The 12,266-nt window shown below is 44.5% G+C and overlaps 1 long non-coding RNA gene and 1 pseudogene across 1 annotated transcript, besides 1 other annotated feature; one reads left to right on the top strand and one right to left on the bottom strand.

The window, feature by feature from the left end:
* Positions 2,006-2,145: a silencer, noted in NCBI's record as "silent region_15454". NCBI's record gives its function as "represses an Ori minimal core promoter by ATAC-STARR-seq in GM12878 lymphoblastoid cells {active_cell/tissue: GM12878}" and the evidence as "EXISTENCE:reporter gene assay evidence [ECO:0000049][PMID:35858748]".
* Positions 4,717-10,712, bottom strand: LOC105377668 (uncharacterized). The gene is made up of 3 exons (XR_941082.2): positions 10,674-10,712; positions 6,051-6,132; positions 4,717-5,509 (listed from the first exon to the last, which is right to left on the bottom strand). It is a non-coding gene; the product is annotated as an uncharacterized LOC105377668 (long non-coding RNA).
* RN7SL492P (RNA, 7SL, cytoplasmic 492, pseudogene) lies at positions 10,992-11,286 on the top strand (annotated as a pseudogene).

The raw sequence follows: 12,266 nt of genomic DNA, 5'->3' as shown, positions 1-12,266 counted from the left end.
GTTAAAGAAGTAGTGCTGCCCCGAATCTGCTCAGTTAGAGTTGTTCTGTATACTCAGTTTGCATCCATTCTTTTTTTTTTTTTTTGAGACAGAATCTCTCTCTGTCAGCCAGGCCAGAGTGCAGTGGCGCCATCTCGGCTCACTGCAACCTCCATCACTGGGGCTCAAGCAATTCTCCTGCCTCAGCCTCTAGAGTAGCTGGGATTACAGGTCCCCACCATCACACCCGGCTAATTTTTGAATTTTTAGTAGAGACGGGGTTTCACCATGTTGGCCAGGCTGGTCTCGAACTGTAGACCTCAGGTGATCTGCCCGCATCAGCCTCCCAAAGTACTGGGATTACAGGCATGAGCTACTGCACCTGGCTAGCATTCATTCTTTATTGAAAAATTCGTTTTTTCCCTTTAATCTTCTTCTTTTTTTTCTTTTCTTTTCTTTTTTTTTTTTTTTTTTTTTTTTTTTTTTTTTTTGAGACAGAGGCTCGCTCCAGGCTGGAGTGCAGTGGAGCGATCTCAGCTCACTGCAATCTCTGCCTCCAGGGTTCAAGTGATTCTCCTGCCTCAGCCTCCCGAATAGCTGGGGTTACAGGCACACACCACCATGCCTGGCTAGTTTTTGTATTTTTAGTAGAGATGAGGTTTCACCTTGTTGGCCAGGCTGGTCTAATGTTCTTTAAAAGTGGCATAGTAATTATAGTTGTCTCAAGTAAATGGTGAGAAGAAAGTTCAACAGTCTATGGAGAGTTCTAGAATAGAAGCTGCCCAAGGATGGAGATCCTCTAAGTCTTGCTCATCATGGTATTTTCAGTGCCCAGAATAGCACCTAGCACAGTGCATATTTGTTGGTTGAGGACATGAAAATACAGCTTAGGAAGCTCACAAAATAATGACAACAAAACCACTAACCTCCATGAATTTCCTTCCTGCAAGAACAGGCAAGATAACTCAAACCAGAAATCCCACACACCACAAAGAAAACAACGTTTTGACTTGCCCAACAGTGAATTTCATTTTTTCCTATGTTACTCTGAAAAAGATAACAATGCTTCATGCCCAGAAGATTTTGAACAGTTCCAGGAGCATACCTTAAACTGGTTTAGATTCTTCTTTGTTATTTAATTAATTAATTTATTTGAGATGGAATCTTGCTCTGTTGCCCAGGCTGGAGTGCAGTGGTGTGATCTCGGCTCACTGCAACCTCCACCTCCCAGGTTCAAGCAATTCTCTTGCCTCAACCTCCCGAGTAGCTGGGATTACAGGTGCCCACCACCAAACCCTGCTAATTTTTTGTATTTTTTAGTAGAGACGGCGTTTCACCATATTGGCCAGGCTGGTCTTGAATTCCTGACCTCGTGATCCACCCCCTTCAACCTCCCAAAGTGCTGGGATTACAGATGTGAGCCACCGTGCCCGGCCCTTTTTTTAATTTTAAAAATTATTCTTAATTTTTGTAGAGATGAGGCCTGGCCATGTTGCCCAGGCTGGTCTTGAACTCCTGAGCTCAAGCAGTCCACCTGCCTTGGCCTCCCAAAGCTCTGGGATTACAGGCATGTGCCACAGCACCCGGCCCTGCCTTAGATTTTTTTAATGACAAAAAATCTTTACGTCTGATCATTCACTCATTTATGTCGTACACACTTACAGATATCTACCATGTGATGAGCATGGGGTATACAATGACAAATGACCCTTAGCTCCTGTACATGCAGAACTTATAGGATCATTCTTTTTTCTCTGAAAAGCAGAACAACTCTCACTTCTGAAAACCAAGAATCTGATGTCTGCTGTAGACTTTTAAGTTCCATGAGGTTAAAACCAGTATTTGTTGTGTTCCCTACTGAATTCCCAGCACTTGGCACAGTGCCTGTCACACAATAAAAACCTAATAAGTACTCGTGGGCGGGCTTACTGAAGTCAGTTTCATTCTGATGGCTTCTGCATTCTGTGGCTAGATTTACAATGGCAAGAGTATTTTGGACAAAAGGAGAAGCTGAGCTTCAGGCAGCAAAGCAGGTGGCAACAGTTAGATATAAATCACTCTCATTCAACCTTCAGGGGAGCCACTTCCTCACTATGTCTTGGAGGTGAGCTCACCCAGGCCATAAACCTCAAAAAAAGGGGACCTATGTCTTAGTTTATTGAACATTTATTTGCTGAACACTGTGTGTGTGTGTGTGTGTGTGTGTGTGTGTGTGTGTGTGTGTGTGTGTATGTTTCAGACGTGGTCTTACTTTGTCACCCAGGCTGGAGTGAAGATTACAGCTCACTGCAGCCTTGACTTCCCAGGCTCAAGCAGTCCTCCTGCCTCAGCTTTCCAAGTAGCTTGAACTACACGCATGCACCACCATGCCCAGCTAACACTTTTTAACTTTTTTTTCGTAGAGACAGGGTCTTGCTATATTGCCCAGGCTGGTCTTGAACTCCTGGGCTCAAGCGATCCTCCCATCTCATCCTCCCAAAGTGCTGGGATTACAGGCGTGACATGCCGCACCTGGCCAACACTATTTGTTTTTAAGAAAGCACTTTGTGGATGTGAAGAAAGTTCAGCCATTGTGGAAGACAGTGTGGGGATTCCTCAAGGATCTAAAACTAGAAATACAATTTGACCCAGCAGTCCCATTACTGGGTATATCCAAAGGATGATAAATCATTCTACTATAAAGACACATGCACATGTATGTTTATTGTGGCACTATTCACAATAGCGAAGACTTGGAACCCAAATGTCCATCAATGACAGAATGGATAAAGAAAATGTGGCACATATACACCATGGAATACTATGCAGCCATAAAAAAGGATGAGTTCATGTCCTTTGCAGGGACATGGATGAAGCTGGAAACCATCATTCTCAGCAAACTATCACAAGAACAGAAAACCAAACACCACATGTTCTTACTCATAAGTGGAAGTTGAACAAGGAGAACACATGGACACAGGGAGGGAAACATCACACACTGGGGCCTGTCAGGGGGTGGGGGGCTAGGGGAGGGATAGCATTAGGAGGAATACCTAATGTAGGTGACAGGTTGTTGGGTGCAGCAAACCACCATGGCACGTGTATGCCTATGTAACAAAACTGCACGTTCTGCACATGTAACCCAGAACTTAAAGTATAATTAAAAAAATAAAAACAACAAAAAAAGCATTTTGTTTTATTTGTCTTTATTATTTATTTATTTTGAGACGGAGTTTTGTTCTTGTTGCCCGGGCTGGAGTGCGATGGTGCAATCTTGGCTAACTGCAACCTCCATCTCCCAGGTTCAAGGGATTCTCCTGCCTTAGCCTCCTGAGTAGCTGGGACTACAGGCACGCGCCACCACGCCCAGCTAATTTTTGTATTTTTAGTAGAGATGGGGTTTCACCACGTTGGCCAGGCTGGTCTCGAACTCCTGACCTCAAGTGATCTGCCTGCCTCGGCCTCCCAGATTGTTGGGATTACAGGCGTGAGCCACTGCACCTGGCCTTTTTTATTTTTATTTTTAAATAATAGACATGGGAGTCTCACTATGTTGCCCAGGCTGGTCTCAAACTCCTGGGCTCAAATGAGGTTTCCACCTTGGCTTCCTGAAATGCTGGGGTTACAGAAGTGAGCCACCACATCCAGCCATGGAGTTTTCTTCCCATAGAATTAAAGTGATCTCAGCATAAAAAAAATTGAGAACCCATGTTCCAGGGCTTCTTTCACCTGTCCCTCTCTAAACTCCTAGTTGAGATCAAATTCCGGCTCATACTGAAATGTCCTCTCTTAGTCGCAGGGTCTTCAAAGAAAATAAAGCATCAGACAAAATATTGAAACCATTAAGCTTCCTTCTACCCCATTCCAGTTCTCATCCACAGTTACTCTCTGACATCATACAACTATGTTTATATTGTATTGTATAAGCATTTAACTGACACACACAATGAATAAAATACAGAAGAAAAGGAACTTGGGGAAGCAAAGACCTCGTTCTCACCTCCTTCTATAATACCCAGATCTAAGCCTCTGTTTCTATATTCTCCATGGTGAGAGGAAGCAACATACCTACACAATATTTAGCAATATGATCAATCACATGTGAAAGCAGTTGCCAATAACGGGACCATTTAGACTGCCAAATTACATAATTGACACATTCTCTCTTTAAAGCAGGGAGTTTTATTTTTCTGTGTTGAAAATGAGATAATATTTAATTTAATGAGTGTCTATAGTTGCATTCACTGCAGTATTTTTTTTTTCGAGACGGAGTCTCATTCTGTCGCCCAGGCTGTAATGCAGTGGCACAATCTTGGCTCACTGCAACCTCTGCCTCCCAGGTTCAAGCGATTTCTGGCTAATTTTTCTATTTTTAGTAGAGACAAGGTTTCACTATGTTGGCCAGGCTGGTCTTGAACTCCTGACTTCAAGTGATCTGCCCGCCTCAGCCTCCCAAAGTGCTAGGATTATAGGTGTGAGCCACCATGCCTGGCCCACTGGCCCACTACAGTCTTCTTTTTTTTTTTTTTTTTTTTGGAGTCTCACTCTGTTGCCCAGGCTAGAGTGCAGTGGCGCAATCTCGGCTCACTGCAATCTCTGCCTTCCTGGCTCAAGTGATTCTCCTGCCTCAGCCCCCTGAGTAGCTGGGATTACAGGCGCGCACCACCATGCCCGCCTACTTTTTGTATTTTAGTAGAGACGGAGTTTCACCATATTGGCCAGACTGGTCTCGAACTCCTGACCTCGTGATCTGCCCGCCTTGGCCTCCCAAAGTGCTGGGATTACAGGCGTGAGCCACCGAGCCCGGCCAAAACCCGCTCCAGTATTCTTAATCCATAGTATTGAAACTACAGGCACATTTTATGAGGGCCTATGATCTAAAGTGCTATCCTTTATGTTTTATATTGTTTAAGAGAGAAACATCAACTCTGTTTCTTAGTATTCTAGCAGATTCAAAAACTGGTTTTCTTACTGTGCAGGGGATCGTGTTTATGTGACATTTATGATAAAATTAGGTTTCATAGTTTTTGTGGCTTTTCTTCTGTCCCCAAGTAAAATTAGATTTCCTTATACGTAGAAAGAAAAAAAATTGGGGGAGGAAATACATTAAAACATTAATGAAATTAAATAATCATACTCAAATTTTCTTCAAGGAGTATACACTATTTTGCTAATTATAATAAAATGGGTCTTATTAAAAATCAGAGTGGGGGAGAGGAGGAAGAAAGGTCTGATTTTAAAAGCCATGAGATGAAGGCACGAGTCAGAAAGAGCCCAGCAATAATCTCTTACAGATCATGACCAAAAATGCTTCCTGGCCAGTGTGGAGACACCAGGGGGCAGTGGCTCCCTGAGAACTGCTGCTGCTCCCAGCTCAGGCGGCTCAGCCTGCAGTCTACGATTCATCGATTCATCGTCACCAAACTCGGGAAAGTTACGTTGCACTTACATGCTGCTTCCGAAGGCTCTTATGCTTTGATTTCTTGAAGGCACCGTTTCTGTGAATAAAACTGAACGATGGTCCGGCGGGGATTAGCATGTAGTTGAGGACCTGGGTGAAAAGATGGGAAATAAAGACAAACCGAAACCATTTTGCCTTCTGGAGTAGGAGTCCAGGAAAGGGATTTGAAAAGCTGCCACGATAGGGTTCAAACTTAGCGGTCCAGGTTGACCTAGTTCCCACAGCCATCAGGAAGAGGGGCGTGCTTCTCTATGGGCAGCAAGTTGAGGAGGAAGTTCCCACTCTTCTTCTCCAGCTTTTCTGCCTCAACACTGCCGCCCCCTGTCCCTCCCCCAGTTCACAATCTTTCATTCTGGCTAAAACTTCTGCCTTTATGCATTACTTCAGGCAATGCATATAACATTCTATCTTTGCTTGGCTATACTGTTTACAAAGTTGTTTATACTTTATAAACCATTTTCATGCGTGTTTTCCACCCATGATTTGAAATGGTTTGGGCTTTCGACTCCCACGTTAAAGACCTTCACTATATTGGAAATAAGTACACCCTAAGTGACTAAAGCTAATACTAGAAACCACTGGATTACTGGACCAAGCCCTAATGACATCGCATTGGCCTGAGAACACTGACCAGGCTGCTGGCTAAAGCTCCTGATGTGGGCAGCGTGGAAGGTCCAGGATCTCAAATACGGAGTTTGGCAGCGAATTTCTTTCTGAAAAGGAAGAGCAAGGCGACACTGTAGAAGCGTTTTCTATTCAAAGACTTTCACAGGCATCTGTGCACATCAAATCGGCAATGAATACGTGTGAGACAGATGACCTTCATTTTCAATGTGGTTTGGAGGTCTTTGGAAGAGTGAAGAATTCCTTTGTTTGCCACAGGTGATTTATTAGGGAAAGTTGTCTTTCTAAACCATATATTTTCAAAAGTTGCAACAAGTCTTACTCATGCAGAAAAATCTTTCAAAAGGAGCATTTGCTACAGAGTTTTTAGGGTAGTGTGGTTTTACACACTAAATAAATGCTTGTAAATATATTTGGGACTTGTAATCAACAGTACCTTTGTTTCCTTTCTTTGCAGTGGATTTGGTGGCTACTGTTACTGTTTTCTTCCTTTTCTTTTTTTTGAGACGGAGTCTCACTCTGTCACCCAGGCTGGAGTGCAGTGGCGCAATCTCAGCTCACTGCAACCTCTGCCTCTGGGGTTCAAGCGATTCTCCTGCCTCAGCCTCCTGAGTAGCTGGGATCACAGGAATGCGCCACCACACCCAGCTAATTTTTGAATTTCTAGTAGAGACAGGGTTTCACCATGTTGGCCAGGCTGGTCTTGAACTGCTGACCTCAAGTGATCTCCCCGCCTCGGCCTCCCAAAGTGCTGGGATTACATAAACAACTAAGGTGCTGAAAGGATTTAGTTCTCAGTGCTGCTGAGCCAGGAGCTTCTCATTTAGACTCTGTTGGGGAAAAAAGCTGGTTCCCAAGTACGTGGCAGCACTTAGGTGGTTTATTATTTGTTGAGCACCAAAGATGTGCTCAGTCCAGTAGGAAAATCACACACAGTACCTTCCATGCCTTCTATAAGCCCGCCTTCCCAGGCATCTTGGCTCACATCAGACAAAGGAGAATAAAATAAACAATTTAGCCAGGGCACAATGCGAAGCCTGGAAAATTGTTTTTTAAATAGAAACTAAATAAATCACAAAATAAATCACAGTACCTTGGACATATTTTATACATTTAACCAGAATTTTGAGTTAATATTAGGTCTATAAAATGGTAGTTAGTAAGGCTAGGATAAGCAATTTCTCTCTGCACACTTTCAAGCTGATTCTTTCTTGTGGAACAGATGTTGCTTCCACCTTCCTCAACTATCTCTATGGCTCCTGCAAAATGTATTTAATATATCCCACTGACCTACCAATGTCTGAGCCTCCATATTTCATCAGTCTTTTAATAAATGGTTGTCTTCTTCACATTCTTCTTTTAACATGCAAATGTCCTATAGAAAGCTAATATATTAAGTTTTTAACACAGGGATGGCAAATTCTAGGCAAGTTCCCAGGCATGCTGCCAGTTGACAGCAGGTGTTACTAATCTATCATCGCATGCTTTCTCACAGAGTCTGGAATTAGCCTTAGAATCCTCAAGGTGGCCGGGCATGGTGGCTCATGCCTGTAATCTCAGCACTTTGGGAAGCCGAGGCAGGTGGATCACCAGAGATCAGGAGTTTGAGACCAGCCCAGTCAACATGGTGAAACTCTGCCTTTACTAAAAATACAAAAATTAGCTGTGCATGGTGGTGGGTGCCTGTAATCCCAGCTACTCGGGAGACTGAGGCAGGAGAATCACTTGAACCTGGGAAGTGGAGGTTGCAGTGAGCCGAGATCGTGCCATTGCACTCTAGCCTGGGCGACAAGAGCAAAACTCCATCTCAAAAAAAAAAAAAAAAGGCCGAGCACAGTGGCTCATGCCTATAATCCCAGCACTTTGGGAGACTGAGGCAGGTGGATCACATGAGGTCAGGAGTTCGAGACCAGCCTGACCATCATGGTAAAACCCAATCTCTACTAAAAAAAAAATACAAAAATTAGCTGGCCATAGTGGCTGGCACCTGTAATCCCAGCTACTCAGGAGGCTGAGGCAGCAGAATCGCTTGAACCCAGGAGGTGGAGGTTGCAGTGAACTACAACTCCAGCCTGGGTGACAGGGTGAGACTCTATCTCAAAAAAAAAAAAAAGGGAATCCTCAACACAGTGCTGCTGGCAGCCTATGCAGGCTAGTCAATGTTGGCATATGAGTAGAAGTCTATATGGTATCCCTCCCTACCTTAGCAGCATAATCTGGATGAGTTGATAATATATTATCTTCATGATCAGGGTTCCAGAAACCAGCAAACTGGATGATAAGGGCATAAGGAGGATAAATATTAAGGTCAATCTTGTTCTACATCACAATTGCATCCTAGGCTTTTTGCCTAACACACACACTCTCTCTCTCTCTCTCTATATATATATATATATATTTTTTTTTTTTTTTTTTTGGAGACAGAGTCTTGCTCTGTTGCCCAGGCTGGAGTGCAGTGGTACAATCTCGGCTCACTGCAACCTCCACCTCCCGGGTTCAAATGATTCTCCTGCCTCAGCCTCCCAAGTAGCTAGGATTACAGGTGCCCGCCACCACACCTGGCTAATTTTTTGTGTTTTTAGTGGAGACAGGGTTTCACCGTGTTAGCCAGGATGGTCTTGATCTTCTGACCTTGCGATCTGCCTGCCTCAGCCTCCCAAAGTGCTGGGATTACAGACATGGGCCACTGCGCCTGGCCACTCTATTTTAATGGCAGAAATAACAAACAAGGGTGGCAGAACTACAAAAGAATACTTTAGGAATATTTACTTTAAAATAGTGAAACATTTTCAGGCCTTTCTAAGTAACTAGCTGTCTTCAAATAGCTCATTCATCAAGGCTTGCACACAGATAGTCTTCTAACCCTAGGATAAGTGAAGCCCACACATAGTGGGCATGAATTGTTAAATGGGGAAGTGTTGAGGAGCTATTGCCAAGGGGAGTTGGATAGTGTCACCCAGAAAATAACAATGAAGTCAATATCTCCTGCACATTGCGGTAGACTTTCCAGGTACTTTGGATGAACTACTAGAATTTGTTCTCCTCTTGTCCCAAAGTCAGTGTACATGACCTCTCTGATATAAAAGCAGAGCAAAAATCACACAGAAAGAAAGAAGCCCACTTAAGAGAGTGGGAGCTACAGCTGGCATGTTACAGGAAGCACCTTGAAAGTGAACAAAGCTCTGATAGATAATAGCAGTAGTTACGGCTGTGAAAGTATAATCAGTCCTATCACCCCCCACCACCCAGAGTCAGAAGAGTTTACTGATGCTCTTGGGGGACAGGAAAGGCCCCCAGGAGCAGGGAGGCTGAGGTGGTCAGTAGTTGCATAAGCCCTGGCACGTAAGGGCAAGTTAGGGAACATTCATCTTAGGATTCTGTGGCTCCTTCCTTGCAAAGGGGAGAGAGCATCTCAAGGTGGGAGACAACCCCAAGAGCAGTGACGGCAGAGAGAGAGACGGCTGAGAGCCCCCAGCCTGAAAGAAGGCATTGTAATAGGCAGCAGCGCCTGTACAGAATGGTCGGTAGGGGAAAATGGGGAGGCGGCAGTGGTTGGCCCCTTGAAAAAGGGTCCAGCCTTGGCCTGGGTGTGCTCATGAGAACACCTGGGGTTCCCCAGAAGCGTGGAGCAGGGCCCAAAGCTCCTTTCCCTGCAGGCTTCTTTAAGGAGAAAAAGGCATTCAGGGAGCACTCTGGCAAGGTGTGCCAGAATTAGTCTTGAAGGCACAGCTAGAGCAGACAGGGCACCAAGGCACCATTAGTAGAGGAGGGGCAGCCTCTGATTGATTATACATGAAACAAATGCCCCTTTAACCTCATGGGGATTCTTGGAACTTGGGATGTACCTGTCATCTCTTTTTCTTTCTCTTTTAATAAAGTTGAGTTGAAAAACAAACCAAATTTAGTTATTATTGTATAACAGTAGCTTTCTTTTCTTTTCTTTTCTTTTCTTTTCTTTTTTTGAGATGGAGTCTCACTCTGTCACCCAGGCTGGAGTGCAGTGGCACGATCTCACCTCACTGCAACCTCTGCCTTCCAGGTTCAAGCGATTCTCTTGCCTCAGCCTACCGAGTAGCTGGGACTACAGGCGTCTGCCACCACGCCCGGCTAATTTTTGTATTTTTTTTTTCAGTAGAGATGGGGTTTCACCATGTTGGCCGGGCTGGTCTTTAACTCCTGACCTCAAGTGATCTGCCTGCCTTGGCCTCCCAAAGTGCTGGGATTACAGGCATGAGCCACCTCTCCCAGCCGATCAGTGACTTTTGAACTCTAGCTTGCAGCCGAATCATCTGGAGGGCACACACATTGCTAAGCTCCACTCCCAGTTTCTGATTTCATAGTTATAGAATGGGCTTGAAAATTTGTATTTTTAATGAGTTCCTTGGAGCTGCTGATGCTGCTGGTCAGGGAATACATAAGAACCACTAGCATAGAAAGTTTTCTGGACCATGGAATCCTTAGCTGAAAGATTCTGTAGACCAGATTATAATACAAGATAAGCAGCCCCTACCATAAAATAGTATCCTAACAAGGTACATTCCTGGCTAGGGCCTTGGGGTAGTTTGCTAGGGCTGTTGTAACAAAGTACCACGGACTGGATGGCTTAAACAACAGAAATTAATTTTCTCACAGTTCTGGAGTCTAGACATCCAAGATCAAAGTGTTCCGGGGCTGGTTTCTTCTAAGGCCTGTCTTGGCTCTGAAGATGGCCATCTTCTCCCTGAGTCTGCACATGGTCTTCCCTCTGTACCTCTCTGTGTCCAAATTTCCTCTTCTTCCTCTCTCTCTCTTTTTTTTTTTTTTTTTGAGACAATGTATCATTTTGTTGCCCAGGCTGGAGGGCAGTGGCACAATCATAGCTCACAGCAGCCTTGAACTCCGGAGCTCAAGCTGTCCTCCCATGTAGCTGGAACTATAGGCTCACACTGCCACACCATTTTTTCTAGAGGCCAGGAGCAGTGGCGCATGCCTGTAGTCCCAGCTACTCGGGAGGCTGAGCTAGGAGGATCACTGGAGCCCAGGAGTTCTGGGCTGTACTGTGCTATGTCGATCAGGCGTCCACACTAAGTTTGACATCAATATGGTGACCTCCTGGGAGCAGGAGACCACCAGGTTCACCTGGGGTGAACTAGCCCAGGTCGAAAATGGAGCAGGTCAAAACTCCTGTGCTGATTAGTAGTGGGATTGTGCCTGTGAACAGCCACTGCACTCCAGCCTGGGCAATATAGCAAGACCTCATCTCTAAAACAAAACGTTCTATACTTTTCAAATAAAAAATAAAAAAATATATTTCTAGAGATGGGGCCTTGTTATGTTGCTCAGGCTGGCCATGAACTCCTGGTCTCAGGTGATCCTCTCACCTCAGCCTCCCAAAGTGCTGGGATTACAGGCATGAGACACCACACCTGGTCAACACTTGATATTTTTCCAGTGCTTGGCATTTGACAACCATTATCCCAGGGCACCTCATTCCTGGTATTAAGATGGCAGACTAAGAATTATCAATTTGAAGATGATGTGTTGAACATAGAATCAGAATAAATAGAATTAATAATCTTATGGAAACTGTGCCACTGTTTCTGATCCCTAAATCCAGATGTATCATCTCATGCCTAATTTAACATGTTTTGAAAACATGGCAGAATGTTTTAAATTAGAACTCCGCAAGAATATCCTATCCTGGAATGTGATTGTTGTACAAAAGGGAATCATTTACTTGTTTATTCTTTTTTTTTTTTTTTTTTGAGATGGAGTTTCGCTTTTATTGCCCAAGATGGAGTGCAATGGCACTATCTCAGCTCACCGCAACCTCTGCCTCCTGAGTTCAAGTGATTCTCCTGTCTCAGCCTGCCGAATAGCTGGGATTACAGATGTGCGCTGACACGCCTGACTAATTTTGTATTTTTAGTAGAGATGGGGTTTCTCCATGTTGGTCAGGCTGGTCTCGAACTCCCAACCTCAGGTGATCCACCCGCCTTGGCCTCCCAAAGTGCTGAGATTACAGGCATTAGCCACCATGCCCAGCCACTTGTTTATTCTTTAATAAATATTCTGTTGAACATCTACTTCATGCCAGAGATGGAGCTAGGTGCTGTGGTACAATAAATAAGGACTAGGCAGGATTATGTAGTGATTAAAACACATTCTGGGGGTCGGGCTTGGTGTCTCATGCCTGTAATATCAACATTTTGGGAGGCTGTGTGGGGAGGACCACTGGAGGCCA

Source organism: Homo sapiens, chromosome 4, assembly GCF_000001405.40.
Source record: "Homo sapiens chromosome 4, GRCh38.p14 Primary Assembly".
Lineage (NCBI taxonomy): Eukaryota > Metazoa > Chordata > Mammalia > Primates > Hominidae > Homo > Homo sapiens.
This window is presented reverse-complemented; position numbering and strand designations above follow the sequence as displayed.